An 18823-nucleotide genomic window follows, 5' to 3' on the forward strand; every position below is an offset into this window, starting at 1 on the left:
ATGTTGCTTGAATACCTAACATGTTTCTGACACGTCCTCCTTTATTCTTTTATCCAGAGTATAATTAATAGACCTAATGATGTTTATTTCTAGTTAGTGGTCTCATCTCAGAAAGCATCAAGTTTCTGTCTGTATTTATAAAGGTTTTATCCTTTAAATATGTAATGTTGCCGGGCGCGGTGGCTCACACCTGTAATCCTAGCATTTTGGGAGGCCAAGGCGGGCGGATCATGAGGTCAGGAGATCGAGACCATCCTGGCTAACACGGTGAAACCCCGTCTCTACTAAAAATACAGAAAATTAGTCAGGCATGGTGGTGGGCACCTGTAGTCCCAGCTACTCGGCGGGGCTGAGGCAGGAGAATGGCGTGAACCCGGGAGGCAGAACTTGCAGTGACCCCAGATCGCGCCACTGTACTCCAGCCTGGGCGACAGAGCTAGACTCTGTCTAAAAAAAAAAAAAAAATGTAATGTTGCTGTATTATTTCAGTCCCCTTTGGACTTCTGCATTGAGACTTTTTTTTTCCTTTTTTGCATTGAGACTTTGTTTTAAATATTGCATAAAATATTTTTTGGGGTATATTGGAATATGAAAATTTGCTTTTGAGGTTTGATTACAAAGTGAAAAGTCTGAGGCATGTGTATACCAGCTTTTGTTCCAGACATATTTAAGTTGTGTGACAAAAAAGGATACATAGTAATGTGTTCTAACTTTATCATCCCTAGAGGGAGACCTGGCCTTACAGGGCAGCATTGGGAGTCTGTCTCTAAGTGACCTCACATGCCATGGAGAGTTCTACAGAGAACGGTTCACTACCAGTGGTGAAGAAGCACTCATCTTCCAGACTTTTAAGTAAAAATGTCAATCTTTTTCTGACTTGATATTTTATCATAATACTTGCTGTTTCAGATTCTTGTTGGCTAGACAATAAAGAAAACTTTTAAAAATTTTTACCTTCTTAGAGGTGAAATTGAGAAGTTATGGTTATGAGGAGTTCTTCCTGACTTTAAATTTCATTAAAATGGATCTGTGTTGAAGTGGGCTACTTAAAGCTTCATAAACAGATGGGGTATGAGTTAGGTGCGGTGGGTCATGCCTGTAATCTAAGCTCTTTGGGAGGCCAAGGCAGATGGATTGCTTAAAGCCAGGAGTTCGAGACCACCCTTGGCAACATAGACACTGTCTCTATAGAAGAAAAAAGCCGTCTGTGTGTGGTGGTATGCAACTGTAGTTCTAGCTACTTGAGAGGCTGAGGTGGGAGGATCCCTTAATCCCAGGAGTTGGAGGCTGCAGTGAGCCATGACTGTGCTACTGCACTCCAGCCTGGGTGATGGAGGGGGGCCTTGTCTCAACACACACACGCACACCCACCCCAGATAGGGTATGATTGAATATTTCTGATTATTAAAAGCCCTGGGCTCTCTTGCTGGTTTTCCACGAACTTGGTGTATGTCCTGAGACAAGTCATGCAGTCTTCGTGCATCAGTTTTTCTATATATTAAGGGGACTGAATCATTAGAACATTTCTGAGCTTCCATGTAGCTCTAAAAGTTCTGGAATGATTTCAGCCTCAGAAGGTTGTTGAGGTTATGAGTTCATTATGCATTTTTGTTTATAAACATGATCTATATTGAATTGTTTCTATGTTAGATTTTAGAAAGGGATCTTCAGGCATGGCTGGTTATTAAAGAATTATTTTCTCAGGGCTGGGCGTGGTGGCTCACGCCTGTAATCCCAGCACTCTGGGAGGCTGAGGGAGGCAGATCACCTGAGGTCAGGAGTTTGAGACCAGCCTGGCCAACATGATGAAACCCCATCTCTACCAAAAATATAAAAATTAGCGGGGTGTGGTGGCAGGTACCTGTAATCCCAGCTAGTCGGGAGGCTGAGGCAGGAGAATAGCTTGAACCTGGGGGACGGAGGTTGCAGTGAGCCGGGATTGTGCCACTGCACCACTCCAGCCTGGGTGACAAGAGCGAAACTCCATCTCAAAAAAAAAAAAAAAAAAAAAAAAGCTTTTCTCAGAAAATAGGGAGTATAAAATGGTGGTTTTCAACCCTTTTTTTTTTCTTTTTTTTAATCTAAGAGGTATTAGAAAATATAGATGTCCAGGTCTGCCTCTACATATTCTGATTTAATTGGTCTAGGGCCATGCTCAGTCTCTTTTTTTTTTTTTTTTTTTTTTGAGACGAGGTCTCGCTCTGTCACCCAGACTGGAGTGCAGTAGTGTGATCTCAGCTCATTGCAACCTCTACCTCCCAGGCTCAAGCAATTCTTCCACCTCAGCCTTCTGTGTAGCTGGGACCACAGGCATGCACCATCACACCCGGCTAATTTTTTGTATTTTTGGGAGATAGGGTTTCACCATGTTGCCCAGGCTGGTCTCAAACTCCTGAACTCAGGCAGTCTACCGGCCTCGGCCTCCCAAAGTGTTGGGATTACAGGCGTGAGCCACCGTGCCTGGCCAGTGTGTGTGTTTTTTTTAAAATGCTGATGTTCAACCAAGGTTGAGAAAAACTGTTTCAAGAAGATATCTGAGGGCTTTTTCATTTTTAGGGGGTTATATGGTACCCTGCTGAGAATGGATTTGTTTGTGTTCTATACCTTGGTGTCATGAAGTCCGATAATTAATGTAAAATTCTCAATTTCCCGCCTAGCCCAAAATAAGTACTCAGCAATGTTGGTTGACTGTGTCCTATTTAATAATATTTTTATGGCACCATGCTCCATTAAACTCAGAACAATTTGTAGAAGTCTTCTAATTTATCTTCGACTATAGATTCCAGAACTCTTTGACTTACATTTGACTAAGTAAAAAGATGTCTTTCTGCCTCTAGAAGACAGTTTTTCCTAGAAACATTGATTCTGATGCCTAATTTTCTTTACCCATTAATTCATGGACTTATTTTTATTGTTTTTCACACATCCTCACAATCTTTGCCAGGAACATGGTGAGCAGGAATACTTACCTTTCAGGGCAGGGAGAAAGGTCAGAGCCTCAGGTGGCCTCTGAGTGACCTCAGTGCTAGAGCTGTCCACCTGTTTATACTCCTGGCTATCACACCTTTATCCCATCACAGAAGCTTACAAAAGGAGTAATTATTAGAGTTTGCTTTGTAAAGCCTAATTTTGGATTTCCATTTAATAATTAAAGCTGGTTTTAGGGAAGCCCCTAAACCAACCTGAGTTTTCTTGAAATACTAACTTGTGTCTTGCTGTTATCTGAGTCACACTTTTATCCTAATTTTTAGATACGGACGGCCTGACCCTCTGCTCCGGAGAGAACACGACATTCGCGTGAGCCTCCGGATGGCCTCTGTGCAGTATGTGCATACTCAGCGTTTCCAGGCAGAGGTGGTGGCCTTCATTCAGCATTTCACTCAGCTGCAGGATGTCTTAGGGCGCCAGCGAGCTGCTATTGAGGGGCAGACGGTAGGTAGCCTGGGCCCTCCAAGCTGCTTTTCCAGTTTGACTGATCAGTAGAACTTTTAGGCCTCTAGAGATGAATCTGGAAGAGTAAAGGTAAGTTATCCTTGCTAATATGTTCTCCGTGTAGATTAGCTACAGACATCTTTGTGTAATTGAAGAGCTTTGTTCCTTATTTATTGTATCTCACTTAAATTACCTTCAAACTTTAGCTTTCACTTTCTGTAAAAAAAGATAAGGGAGGTTTACAAAGAACACTTAAGACTTCTGGTCCCTTTTAGGACTTCAGTGGGGATGTTTCTCTTGGAAAGTGGTAGGTTTTTTCTAAATGCAGTAGATCAGAAGTTCTAAACTGAGTTCGTGGCCCCCGTGGGGTCCTGGTAGTTTATTCATGGCACATCCTAGGCCAAAGGAAACACCTAATGGTATTTCCGTTTACAAAGTAAGTCAGTCTAAACAACAAGTACATATGTCCTAACAACTTAGTAGGTGTTTGAAAAAATAATAACACATAAATGGAAAGAATAATATTTTATTTAATTCTTAAGTAACCACAATGACTGGTAGGAGGTATGTGCCTGTTAGGTATTGCATAACTTCTCAAACTTGGAATCAGGTTGGACATTACAACCCTCACTTCCTGTCCACATTTATCTTCTTATGGTACTTGCTTTTTCTCACAGCAACCGCTGAAGACCCAGCTTCGCAAAGATAATACCTTACTGAAAGGAGTATAGAATGATCTATTATTGAATGCCAACTACCACAAGCTACTAGTTAGTGCAGTGTCTGGCAGATGTTGTTTTTCCTTCAAAAATTTAAAATGTCCTGGCAGCCGGGTGTGGTGGCTCACGCCTGTAAATCCTAGCACTTTGGGAGGCCGAGGCGGGCAGATCACGAGGTCCAGAGATCGAGACCATCCTGGCCAACATGACGAAACCCCGTCTTTACTAAAATACAAAAATTAGCTGGGCATGGTGGCACGTGCCTGTAGTCCCAGCTATTCGGGAGGCTAAGGCAGGAGAATCGCTTGAACCTGGGAGGCGGAGGTTGGAGTGAGCCGAGGTGGCGCCACTGCACTCCAGTCTGGCGACAGAGCGAGACTCCGTCTCAAAAAAAAAAGTCCTGACAGCTGCAAGCCTTTGCCACCCTGTGGTGTCTCAGTGCAGTTTGGGAACCATAGAAAATAACAATGTACTTTTGTAACAACGTGTTATTTTTCCTTTTTTAAAAAAACTTTATGGCCAGGCGTGGTGGCTCACACCTGTAATCCCAGCACTTTGGGGGGCGAGGCGGGCAAATCACTTGAGCTCAGGAATTCGTGACCAGCCTGGGCAACATGGTGGAATTCTGTCTCTACAAGAAATACAGAAATTAGCCGGGTGTGGTGAGGCATGTGTCTGTAGTCCCAGGTACTTGGGAGGCTGAGGTGGGAGGATGGCTTGAGCCCAGGAGGTGGAGGTTGCAGTGAGCTGAGATCATGCCACCTGCACTTCAGCCTTGGTGACAGAGCCACCATGACTCAAAAAAAAAAAAAAAAAACAAAACTTTATTAGGTAAAAGATTATAATTTAATAAATAGATACTTTATAGTGGCAGCATTTTTAAAAATTACATTTTAATTTAAATAAAAAATGTTTGACTTGGTAGATATTGATTTGGTACAGTAGCAAAGTGAAAAAGGGCATTTGGAGAAAAGTCTCCTCAATTATTTTTCTCCAACTGTCTAGTTTCTCTCTCTGGAAGCAACGAGTGCTGTCGGTTTCCTGTGTATCTTCCAGAGAATGTATTTTTAAAAAATATACAAGTAGCATAATCAAATGATAGAAAATCTGGAAAAAAGAATCATACTAGTATCTCTGCACTATAGCATGTTTTAATTTGTTTCTGTTGTTTTCTATACATTTTTCTCTGAATTTGCTCATGGAATATATAACCTTTTTTTCTTTCTTTAACAACTCAAAAAAAATTTAGCGTTTTACACCTATAAAAGATTATCTGTAGCATGTATATATGTCACAGAGTATCATAATAAGATGAACATCTGTGAACCCACCTCTAACTAAAAATTAAAGCATCAGGAAGACAGCTGCCTGCATATGCTGTGTTCCTTCCCTATTCCGTTCCCCTGTCAACTCCTCGTGGAACCACTCTGGTGATTTTTGGGTCTATAAGATCCTTTAAAATTAAAAAGAAAAAATTTCTAAACGGTATCTTTTGCTTTGCTTGTGATCTTTATAAAAATGGTATTAAACCGTATTTAATGTTCCTTGACTTGCTTTTCCCCCCATTTAGTGTGTTGATAAGATTCATTCATATTGTTACATACGATAGCATTTATTTTTACCATTGCATTTCATTCTGTGTATAAATGATTTATCCATTTTCCTTTGGAACACTTGGGCTGTTTACAGTGTTTAGCTCTTATGTACTGTGAGTCCTGATGCACATACTTGAGACTTTCTCTGATCTCTGAGATACCTGGCAGTGGAATTACTGAGCCATAGGGTGTGCGCACATTTCTCTTCACTAGATAAAGCCAGATCGTTTTCCAAAACAGCTGTCTCAATGATAGTCTCCCATCAGCAGTGTATAATAATTTCTTTTAATTCATATCTTTGCCAACACTCTTATTGTCAGACTTTTTATTTGATATAAAATGATATTACATTTATGGTCTGCATATGCTTTTATAAAATAATTTAGATTGAGAAATAGCATACAGTGTATCAAGTATGTAAAACACTGTAATTTTATACATGCACTTTTAGAATCCAGCTATTTTTCCTAGCCTTTTTTAGAATCTTTTTCCATCTTGCTTTGCATTTTTCATAGATATCCTATGTAGCAACTATATAATCTATTAGTTTAACCATTTTCCTATTTTTAACATTTAAATTGCTTTCAGCTTTTCATTCTTATGACTAATGCTTCCATGAATATCTTTACAGAAGTGAAGTTTTTTTTTCACTTTTTGAATTATGTTTACAGTATTGATTCCTACAAATGGTACTGTTTTATCAAAGTTATGAACATTTTTGTGACTTTCAGTATGACTCTGCTAAATGTTTTCTGTTAGAATTGTTGTGTGCATTTAAAACAGTTATTTTTACATGTGTGGTTGAAACAGTGGTAAGTCTTATGGTGGTGAATCATTTGGGTTAGGAAACGAGATACTTGTATATTACTGAGTAATTGGGTTTAACTTCCTGGGTTAAGCAGAGTTGAACAATAAGTCTCAAGTTTTGCTTTATCAAATTATATAAGACAAGTAGGAGGTTAAAGGAATGTCTTTCTATTTTGAACATTGTTCAATATGTAGGCTTTGAAGAGAAGCTGATCTTCTCAAGAATCTTTAATTCTAGCTGTTTGAATTAGGTTTATATAGAGCTAAGATCTACTTTTATTTGTCGATAAGATTAAGAGGCTATTTTGTTTGAAATTTAAATTTCTTTCACCTTGTATTGGTGACACGTGTTTTTGACATGTAGCTGGGTTTTTATTCCTACATTTTCTGAGGTCTGTAAATAATGATTCAGTGGAACTTTGAATTTCTTTGTATTCTTAATGTTTGAAATTTTAAGAGTATCAGTTATACCAGATGTGTTTGGCCAAATATAAATTATTTCCCATATATTTTACCCCAGAAGTATGATGCAGTTTTTCTATGCCTTCCACTTTACATGTAACCTCTTATATTTGTTACACTTCTTCATTCACCTAGCAACTGGTATAGTAAAGTAATGCTGTGCGTTAGAAATCTTGGGACAAATATCTTGAGTGGGTTTTGCTTCCATTAGCTATGTGACCATCAGGGAGTTATTTTTCTTACTATTCTTCCCTTGACTCAGTTATAGTAGGAATACGGAGATAGCAGAATTAAGTAGCCTGTACTTTTGGCAATAATTATTTATATTAATGATGCTTTGGAGTTTTCAAAGTGCTTTCCTACACATTATCTCATTTGATCCTTATAACAACCCTGTTTGTTCATTTCTTCAGTAATTTAGGAATGAGTGTGTCATGCAGCTTGCCAGGTGCTAGGAACAGAGTGGAAAACAAGAAAGACAAGGTCATTGCCTTCATGGAGTTTATATTTCAGTGGGAGGATATAATCAAGGAAAAAAAGATAATTAGTTATGATAATACCTAATGAGGCGGTGGTCGGCAGATGTGTTACTTTCATTTTATAAGTGAGGAAACATTGTTAACTCTTAGCCCTGGTTGTCTGGCTCATGATTCAGTGTTTTTTCCATTAACATATAACTGAACGCATGTTCAAGATGTAAGTGCTAGTCAGGATGCCTGTATATATATAAATACATAGCTGTGTGTACAGGAAAAAAAGACTGAAAAGATATGGTGTTGATGTGGTAATAATAATAGCTGTTACATTTTCACCTCAGTTTCTGGGTGTATTGTCTCATTTAATCCCTATACCTCTTTGAGGTAGGGCTTATGGCTTATTATTATTCCCATTTTATAGATAAGGAAACGGAGGCACAGAGACTTTAACGACTTAACCAAGATAACCAAGCTACTAAGTGGCCAGGGGTTTATTAGTTTTATCTTTTAAAATAACCAACTTATTCAGGCCTGTATTATGGCCGAGGCATACTCTCAGCCAATAGACCACCTGTTCTTATAAAGAGGATATGTTCTGGGCTGGGCACGCTCACACCTGTAATCCCAGCACTTTGGGAGGCCAAGACGGGTGGATCACATGAGGCCGGGAGTTTGAGACCAGTCTGGCCAACATGGTGAAACCCCATCTCTCCTAAAAATACAAAAAATAGCTGGGCGTTGTGGCACGTGCCCGTAATCCCAGCTACTCGGGAGGCTGAGGCATGAGAATCTCACTTGAGGCCAGGAGGTGGAGTTTGTAGTGAGCTGAAATTGTGCCACTGTACTCCAGCCTGGGCAACACAGCAAGACTCTGTCTCAAAAAAAAAAAAAAAGTATGTTCTGTGGTTTTTGGGTGCAGTCATATTCTATAAATGTTTAATTGATTTTTCTCTGATTGTCGGTTTCCTATATCATTGACTTATGCTTTTTATTTTCTTCCTTCTACTTCAGATTTAATTTACTTTTCTTTTTCCAGCTTCTTAAGGTGGAAGCTTTCAATTACTGATTTTTAAGTCTTTATTGCTTTCTAAAGTCGTGGTGTAAATTTCTCTCTAAGCATAGTTTTAAGTGTATCCCACAAATTTTAATGTATTATGTCTTCCTTATCATTTTAGTGAAAATATTTTTCTGTTTCCCTTGTGATTTCTTCTGACCTAGGGGTTATTTAGAAGTGTGTAGTTTACTTTCCAAATATTTGGGGATTTTCCATTATCTTCTTGTTACTGACTTCCAGTTTAACTCCATGGTGGTCATAGAATATGCTCTGTATGATTTTAATTGTTTTATAAACTCACGAAACTTTTGGGAACCTGAGGTTATTTGGTGGTAAAATTAGGGAATTAATTATCCTCTGAGTCAGTTTTCCTTCCTCTTTCAGGTGAGAGATCAAGCCCAGCGCTGTTCACGGGTTCTCCTGGATATTGAGGCTGGTGCTCCCGTTCTCTTGATCCCAGAAAGTTCCAGATCAAATAATCTGATTGTAGCAAATTTGGGGAAGTTGAAAGTCAAAAATAAGTTTCTGTTTGCTGGTTTTCCTGGCACCTTTTCCCTACAAGATAAGGTGAGCAATCAGTATCCATTTCCTTTTCCGTTCAGCTAGTATTTGATCACTAATTGAAAAATTTGTATGCTGCTGTAAGATGATCCATAATTGCTATTACTTTTGTAGGGTATGTGGCTTGAAGAATTTTTTTTGGCATTTTATTGATATTTCAGTTAACCTTATGAATTGAGGTAGTGTAAATTATAACTCTTAGTAAATGTAGGTAGTAGAATTTTTTTTGACATTTTATTGATATTTCAATTAACCTTATGAATTGAGGTAGTGTAAATTATAACTCTTAGTAAATGTAGGTAGTAACTTGTTTTAGCAAACAAACCAATGGAATCAACCTTCCATCTTTTTATAATGCTTTCTTTATATAAAAGCATTCCTTCTATAATATAAACGTTTTAGACTCTGTGGCTTTTTTCAGAGGACGTGATTGGCCCGTGGTTTACTTGAAGCCATTTAAAAATGTCTTAATAATAACATCTGTACAGTATATTGCTTTACAGTTTTAAATTACTGTGGCACCTTTTTTTTTTTTTCAACTTTTGTTTTAGATACAGGGGGTACATGTGCAGGTTTCTTAGATGGGTATATTGCACCCAGATAGCATAGTACCCAATAGGTAGTTTTCCGACCCATTCCCCCCAACCCCCCGACTCCGCTCTAGTAGTTGATGTTAAACAAGTAAACGTGTTTCCCTGAGTTTTGTGAGCTCTCTTAGCAAATTATAGAACCTTAGGAGGGTATCTGTTGTTCTCATATTTATGACCATCCATGGATACTCAATGTTTAGCTCCCACTTACAAATGAGAATGTGTGGCATTTGCTTTGCTTTTTTTTTTTTTTTTTTGAAACAGAGTCTCACTCTGTTGCCAAGGCTGGAGTGCAGTGGCACTGTGTTGGCTCACTGTGACCTCCGTCTCCTGGGTTTAAGCAATTCTCCCGCCTCAGCCTCCCGATTAGCTGAGATTACAGGTACCAACCACCACACCCAGCGAGTTTTTATGTTTTTAGTAGAGACGAGGTTTCACCATGTTGGCCAGGTTGGTCTTGAACTCCTGACCTCAGGTTATCCACCCGCCTTGGCCTCCCAAAGTGCTGAGATTACAGGCATGAGCCACCATGCCCGGCCACATTTGCTTTTCTGTTCCTGCATTAATTCGCTTAGGATTATGGCTTCCAGCTCCATCCATGTTGCTGCAAAGGACATGATTTCATTCTTTTTTATGGCTGTGACTTATCCATTTCTCATAACAGTGTTTGGAGGTAATTAGGATGAGGACTGTTGTTATTTGTGTTTTACATTGGGGAAACTAGGATTCTTTGAGAATAAACAGTAAAAATGGAAACACCTAGTAATTCACAGACCCTTAAAGCTGAGAGGACCTTTTAGATGGTCCGATTAGTCCCCCTTCATCCATTTTTGCATTTGAGGAGACTGAGTGACATTTCTGGAACCAGAAATGAGGCCTTGTCATTCTTGGTGTGTGTTTTCATCATTCCTTGCTGGTTTCCACAGCAGCTCTTCAGTCTATTTGCTTATTCCTTGCAAACTCGTTTTAGTGTGTCAGAAAAGCACTTACTGAAATTCCCAGCTACTTATGCCTATTTTTAGTATAATAGCTAATAACGTAGGGAGAGAGATGGCCTTTGAGATGTATGTAAGATTTGATTGTAAGATTTAAAAACTGCCGAAAATAGCAATACATAGCTGCCATTTGCTGAATGCTTATTATACATCAGCCAGTGCTGTGCTCTTTACATATAAAAGGAAACAGCTCCCAATGCTTCTGACACCAGATGTGTTGGGTTTTCCCCCATACTAACCATTTTCCGACTGTGCAGATACCAACTTGTCTATAATTTAATTATGACATTAACCACTTGGAGTTAGCTTAAGACCCCACAGGTCCCTAAAGACTGCTCCCCACTCAGACACCAGTCACAAGTACAGGTCTCCTGTATGTCTGACAGACTAGCTATAAGCTTGGGGTTCCCACAATGCCTCCTGAGGTTCAGTAATTTGCTATAGTGGCTCATAGAACTCAGGGGAGCACATTTACTGGTTGAGCATAAAGGCTGTAATAAAGGATACAGCCAGATGAAGAGGTGCATAGGGCGAGACCCCGCAGCGTCCCGAACACAGAAGCTTTTGTGCCATGGAATTGGGGTGCTCCATCTCCTGGACTGCGGATGTATTCACCAACCTGATATCTCTCTGGACCCCATTGTTTAGGCTTTTAATGGAGTCCCCATTACATGGGCATAATTAATTAAATCATTGGCCATTTGTGATTAGACTCAATCTCTAGCCCCGCTGCTCTCCCTGGAGGCCTGGGCACTGAAACTGAAAGTTCCAACCCTCTAATCACACGGTTGCCTGTACTTCCAGCAACCCCCGTTCTAAAGCTATTTAAGGGTTTTTAGCCACCAGTTATCTCGTTAACATACACAAGGACATTTTATCACTCTGGAGATTCCAAGGGTCTTGGAAACTCTTGTGTCAGGGACTAAGACCAAATACAGTTATGGTCCCTTAGCTACAGGGAGATACTTGGAAGAATGATGCATCCTTAGGTGATTTCCTTGCTCTGTGATCATCATAGAGTGTCCTTACAAAACCGAAATGGCTTAGCTTACTGCACACCTAGGCTCTGTGCTATAGCCTGTTGCTCCTAGAATACAAGCCTGTACAGCACAGTACTGTGTTGAATACTGTAGGCAGTTGTAACACCATGGTTAAGTATTTGTGTATCTGAACATATCTAAATATAGAAAAGATACAATAAAAATGCTGCATTATAATCTTACGGGAGCATCATAGTATATGTGGTCTGTGGTTGACTGAAATGGCATTATGCGGTGCACAACTGTATTTATTTGTGGTAAATCTTTACTTTGAGGCCATACTAAAATTTTTAGGAGGAAATCAGTTCTAGCCAGATTGTGTGACCAAGTTCACCAGGACCATTTTTGTTTCTCTATCCTTCCTAAAAAGGTACTGGCCAGAGTTTCCTTATCAGATATATCTATGTATGGGTTTACCAGCAGGCCCTGAAGTTAGCCTCGGCAGAAGAATTGCCAAGATACTGAAGACATTTTTGCAAAAGGGTTCCTATTTTTTAAGTCAAATAATAGCACAGAGTTTGTAGTGTTTTAATGAAAAAAATTTCCCTGTATTTGTTTTTGAGGATTTGATTTTAAGTGGCAGTGCATACAAGGAGCGCTTTTTCTTCAAGGTATAATGTGCTTTTTTTGCAACCTGACTATTCTGAAAAACCTTATGGGATTCAGCAGTCAATCCACATTCACATGCTTTAAAAAGAAAATTAAAACCAACCCTTTAAAATATCTCATTACTTGAGAAAGCCTGCTTATTAACTTTTTTTTTTAAGTGTTTGAATTACTTTCATACTATGTAAAGATGTTGTTCTTAAGGCCCATTGAAAAGAATTCCTTTTTTTTTTTTTTTTTTTAGCCTTCACTAGTACGTTCTTGGTGATCTTATTTTATATCCTTAAATCTTAGAAAAACTATCTTACTGGGTACCAGTGATTGTTCTGTAGAATTCCATAAGGGCTGTTTGGAGTGTGTTGCTTGTTCAAGTATTTGTAAGCAGATAAACACATCTGTGAAGTTCACCTCCCCATGCATACAGTTAAATATAATTGATTACAGTCTATATGAAATGAATAATTACCTTCTTCACCAGCCATCATTTTGTATTTGCATTTGCCTTTGAATACATTTGCATGTGTGAGGTTTGTCTAATATGCATTCCAGTGGTTAAAGAACAGGAAATAATCCTGAAATCAAAGCTTGGAGACGGGTTATTTGCCCTTGAGTTCCAGGACTCCTGTGTGTTTGGAATTGTTTTACATAAATCCATGTCTTAATGAGTACAAGATTGAGTTTTTTTGCATATGCTTTTATTTCACTTTTCTCAACCATAGCTTATGCTTAAACCACAATTTCTAAGTCAAAATCTTTGAAAAGCTTTGGGTTAATCTTCTCAAGCCACTGATTTATTTAAACCAACTACAGAGAGGATGTAGAGATGAATCAAATGAAAGGGCAACAAACACTTTACAGAGTTTAAATAAACTAAGTGAGAGGGAAAGGTTTTAATGTTGAAATACTTAAATAATGACATTTACCTAGTAATCTGCCTTGCAAAAAAATAAAAAAATTGCAGAAAGCAAGAACTAGTTTCTTTTACTTGTAATTACTACTTGAGAGAACTGTGAAAGGGAGCAGTGTTTTTGTATTCTTTTCCAAAGCTGAGAGGAGTCAACATAAAGGCAGCCCTAGAGGGAGAGCCATCCTTCCTCTCTTCCCAGATTCGGTTGAGAATGGCAAGATGGGAACCATGATGCTACGGGAGCTGTGCAGACATGTAGCTCCGAGGCCTCCATGAAGAAGCCCTGGGAAGCTTAAAAGTCAATTATTGAATTGTTCTGGTGAAATAGATTTTCCTCTGTTAGCAGTTAACCGAATGAAGGTACTAAGTGTGTAAGAAAAGAGTAGTATTTTCAATAGAATTACTGAATCATTTTATTCTCTGTTAGCCCTTCTTAATTTGTATGTCCTTGAGCAGAAACATCATAGGAATGGCTGGCCTCTTTTGTTTTCATTTCTACAGTTACTTAGATGGGAAATGTAAACCCATGAGGGGAGACATCTAGAAGGTACAAACACATTGGAGCCATGTTGCCATTAGATGTCTTTTCTTAAAACAATATGCCCCTCCCCAAAAGCAAAGCAACAAACTGTCATATAGCTGAGAGACTTGCTTTTGCCGCATTTGACCTTGATTAAACCACTTGAAGCAATTGGCATCTTCACATTTGCTCTTGAGCCAAAAGATGGTATCTTCCTGCAGAAGTTTTCAGCAAGTATTGAACTATATGTAACATCTCTGCTGATAATTTTTTGTGGCAGTAAATGTCGTGATCCTGGTAGCCTCTTGTTTATGGGATCTGGGAGGCTGAGGGAAGTATAAGTATTATAGAGTCTTTGAAGACCCTAGGGACTGGGATAGGACTTTGGAGATATTAAAGATAGAGTCCCACCACCAGTGCTGCCCCCTTCCCATTTCCTGCATTCTAGTTTTATTTTGTTCCTTCCCAGGAATCTGTGCCTTCAGCTTCCCCAACGGGTATTCCCAAACACAGTCTGAGGAAAACGACAAGCACGGAGGAGCCCAGGGGAACCCATTCCCAGGGGCAGTTCACGATGCCTCTTGCTGGAATGAGCCTAGGAAGCCTGAAGAGTGAGTTTGTGCCCAGTACCTCCACCAAGCAGCAAGGGCCGCAACCCACACTGTCTGTTGGCCAAGAGTCCAGTAGTCCAGGTAAAAGAGGAGAAAAGCAACATAATACTGAAGGTGGGGAAATTCACAGGACTGTTGAGGAAACTGAGGGGGGTGGGCATTGTGTTCAAGCAAATGTTAACGAAGAGATAGCATTTCTTTAACGATGATGAGATTCTGATTTTGCTTTACAAGGTTTAAGAGTTTTGGGTGTAGATTTATCATTGGATGACTTGTAAAGTAGGGTTAAATTAGCACGATATAGTGTAATTAAAGAGATTTTTAGATAGCCTATTAGGACTTTTTTCTTATAGGTGAAAATAGTTGCCACCAGATAGTGATAGTATAAGTAGAAAGAGTCCTGCATTCTGCAAGCCACTACCCAGACACTGTCCTTGCAAACCACTAAGTCTAAAAAATATAAAAGAACACATTAAAAAATATTAGCGTAAATTAGGCAACAACAGAAATGCTGTAGCACAGAGTTTAAAAGACATGAACCATCTGGTTATTGGTGTTCTTCTCTCCAATATAAGAATTAGTCATTCCAAATGAGAACATTATTTTGGAGGCTTTTCTGGTTTTATGTATTTTTTTTTTCCCCTCAAGACAGGGTCTCTCACTGTCTCCCAGGCTAGAGTGCAGTGTTGTGATGATGGCTTACTGCAGCACTGACCTCCTGAGCTCACTCGATCCTCCCACCTCAGCCTCCTGAGTAGCTGGGACTACAGGCATGTGTCATCACGCTCAGCTAATTTTTGTGTGTGTGTGTTTGTGTGTTTTGTAGAGATGGGGTTTTGCTATGTTGCTCAGGCTGGGTCTTAAACTCCCGAGCTCAAGTGATCCTCCTGCCTCAGCCTCCCGAAGTGCTGGGGTTACAGGCATGAGCCCCCGGGCCTGGCCTCTTTTCTGTTGTTAAATGTGTTCTGGATGAGTCATGTGCCCGATAAGTGGGAGCTGCTCTGAGCTGCTAGAGACGGAGGCAGAATATGATGAGCTGCAAAGATCAGTCCAGTGTGATGAGACTTTGCAAGATGCAGGACACTAGCTGAGAGAGGCTGCTGAGTGTCTTGTTACATAGATCCGAGGAATTGTTAGCTCTCTCTGGTACCTTATAGTCCTAGAGGTGACAGGAAAGTGGTTTTAATTGTGTTGATCATTTAACAAGATAATTTTCATCCCCGTAGTAGTAGTTGTGAAACACTATGTGCCAAACATTGTGGTGCATTATTTACATTAATTATTTTGTTCACATTACACTCCTGCAGGGTTTTTATTTTTCTATTTTTATTTTTATTTTTATTTTTATTTTTTTGAGATGGAGTCTCACTCTGTTGCCCAGGCTGGAGTGCAGTGATGCGATCTTGGCTCACTGCAAGCTCCGCCTCCCGGGTTCACGCCATTCTCCTGCCTCAGCCTCCCGAGTAGCTGGGACTACAGGCGCCCGCCACCACGCCTGGCTAATTTTTTGTATTTTTTAGTAGAGATGGGGTTTCACCGTGTTAGCCAGGATGGTCTCGATCTCCTGACCTCGTGATCCGCCCCGATTTCACAGATGAAGAGGCAAAGGCTTGCAGAGATTGGGTAACCTGACCTGCCCAAGGTTATGAGGTAGTAATGGAAGAGTTGGACTACGAATTTTGGCAGTCTGACTCCAGAACCGAATTGTAACTGAACATGATACTGCTTGCCAGTCTGTCTGCATGCACATCTAGAACACAGAGGGGGCTGCACCTGAGGGCCACTCGGCATATGGTGCTTGCCGCCACTGATGTTATGACGTCTGTGATGATTAGGAACAAGGCCAGTCTTACATATGTATTGGTGGATGCCTTTAAGAAGTGATTTGGGATGTTTTATAGAAAGAATGTCTCTTTTTTAACAGTATATCTCCTACTGATTTGCTATTTGTTTCTGAAATTTCACTATTAATGATACATTGTCTTGGATTAAGACAGTGGTTTTCACACTGTTTCCATGTAATCCTAGGATTCCATAGCAGTACCCTAGAGCAGCAGTCCCCAACCTTTTTGGCATCAGGGACCAGTTTCATGGAAGACAATTTTTCCACAGACAGGGTTGGGGATGGTTTCAGGATGAAACTGTTCCACCGCAGATCATCAGGCATTAGATTCTCATAAGGAGCACACAATCTAGATCCTTCTCTTAGGCAATTCCCAATAGGGTTTGCACCCCAATGAAAATCTAATCCCACCGCTGATCTGACAGTAGGCAGAGCTCAGGTGGTAATGCTCGCTGACCTCCTACTGTGAGTACCTGTCTGTGGCCTGGGGATTTGGGACCCCTGCCCTGGAGAATCTCCAAAGCCTGCTTCATTCACTTTCCTTACCCCCTTCTAGCAGATCAGCTCTACTTTTATCTATTCCATGTATTTATCAATGTAAGTAACTAATAAAAAACTAATTTTTTCAGTGCCCACGTAATGCCAGGTGTTATGATATTTTATTCCCTAGTATATTAACATGCTGTTAGACATGGCTCCTCCTACAGTGCTACTTATAGACTAATGAAAAAGACATTGAGCATTTAAATATTGATAGATTATAATAAATGTTATCATGGAAAAGACAGAAGAAGAGAGAAGACTGAATTTAGATGAGAGGGGCGGGCCATGCCACCTGTAAGGCTGTTGAGGCAGCAAAGAGCTTGGCATTTTGGGGGTAACAAAGGACAGTAAGCCTGAGGCCTAGTGAGCAGGAGAGAGAATGGCTTGAAATGAGCTTGGGAAAGAAGGCAGTGGGCTTGTGCAGGGCCTTGTAGGGATTTGGGGGAGTTTTACAGAAATAATTTTGTTTCTTTTTTGTTTTGAGATGGAGTCTTGTTCTGCCCAGGCTGGAGTGCAGTGGCGTGATCTTGGCTCACTGCAACCTCTGCCTCCCGAGTTCAAGCCATTCTCCTGCCTCAGCCTCCTGAGTAGCTTGGATTTGGGCGCCCAACACCACCCCTGGCTAATTTTTATATTTTTAGTAGAGACTGGTTTCACCATGTTGGCCAGGCTGGTCTTGAACTCCTGACCTCAGGTGATCCACCTGCCTCAGCCTCCCAAAGTGCTGGGATTACAGGTGTGAGCCACCGCTCCCGGCTTACAGAAAGAATTTTGGATTAACCGTAGCCAGTAAGTGTATAAAATAAGTGAATGTTATGGACTGTTTATTTTTTTAAGGATTACTCAGGTATTTGGTGGGGAGAGTGGTTTTGTGAGGGCTAGAATGGAATTATGTAGGCCTAATGGAGGAGAGTTCTTTTTGGTCTAGGCAAGAATGAAGGTGGTTTGGATCTGGTCAGTGGAAATGGACGTGGTTACATGTGGCAGTATTTGTTTGAAAAAATAATTTTAGTGCTGGAGAAAGTTTGTAAACCTTTTGGTAGCATTGTGCGTGGGGAGGGATTGCCTATGGAGTCAGATTTCGTCATCAATCCCCCAGCCTCAGTTGTTGTCACAGCATGGGCATGAGACACCGTAGAACTGTGACGCGGTCTGTGCTTGGAGTGGAGGCGGGTGGGCAGGGTGTGTCGAGCACATGGAGCTTTGCATAAGGAGGTCTGGCTGCCATAGTGGAGACTCCTGGACAGCCAGTTTTCTGAGTAGTGGACAGTGTGGGGAAGCAGGCAGCTGTAAACATTTTCAAAGACAGAATGAGCTTTGCATTTTTTATTTGTTTAGTGCAACCCCTTTTTGGGTCCCCTTTTCTTCATTACCTCTCTTTCCTTGGGTCCTTGTAGAAGACCATGTCTGCCTGCTGGATTGCGTTGTCGTGGATCTCCAGGACATGGACATCTTTGCTGCAGAGAGACATCCGAGAGAATACTCGAAGGCACCAGAGGATAGTAGTGGAGATCTGATCTTCCCTTCCTATTTTGTGCGACAGACAGGAGGAAGCCTCTTAACCGAGCCTTGTAGGCTGAAATTGCAGGTGGAAAGGAATTTGGACAAGTGAGTGTTTTTTTTTTTTTTTGAGATGGAGTCTCGCTCTGTTCACCAGGCAGGGTGGAGTGCAGTGGCGCAATCTTGGCTCACTGCAACCTCCACCTCTGAGGTTCAAGTGATTCTCCTCAGCCTCAGCCTCCCAAGTAGCTGGGATTACAGGCACATGCTACCATGCCCGGCTAATTTTTGTATTTTTAGTAGAGATGGGGTTTTACCATGTTGTGGTCTTGAACTCCTGACCTCAGGTGTTCTGCCTGCCTCAGCCTCCCAAAGTGCTGGGATTACAGGCGTGAGCCACCATGCCCAGCCAATGTTTTATATCTGAATAACTGTCTATGATAAGTAGAATCTTAACGTGGAAATCAGTGCTATTAAGATAAGTTTGGAAGAACTAGTTATTCACTTATTTCTTCGTCTATTTAACAAATGTTTATTGAGTCCCTACTATGTGCTGAACATG

The 18823-nt window shown here is 40.5% G+C and overlaps 1 protein-coding gene across 2 annotated transcripts in view; it reads left to right on the forward strand.

Moving 5' to 3' along the window:
* Positions 1-18823, forward strand: part of VPS13D (vacuolar protein sorting 13 homolog D) — a 282018-nt gene that overhangs the window by 60243 nt on the left and 202952 nt on the right. For both annotated transcript variants that reach the window (NM_015378.4, NM_018156.4), the window contains exons 23-27: positions 726-852; positions 3252-3432; positions 8930-9112; positions 14234-14456; positions 18159-18369. In NM_015378.4, the coding sequence (NP_056193.2) occupies positions 726-852; positions 3252-3432; positions 8930-9112; positions 14234-14456; positions 18159-18369 (925 nt within the window). The remainder of the gene's footprint in view (positions 1-725; positions 853-3251; positions 3433-8929; positions 9113-14233; positions 14457-18158; positions 18370-18823) is intronic.

Source organism: Homo sapiens, chromosome 1 (assembly GCF_000001405.40).
Source record: "Homo sapiens chromosome 1, GRCh38.p14 Primary Assembly".
In the NCBI taxonomy this organism is placed as follows: domain Eukaryota; kingdom Metazoa; phylum Chordata; class Mammalia; order Primates; family Hominidae; genus Homo; species Homo sapiens.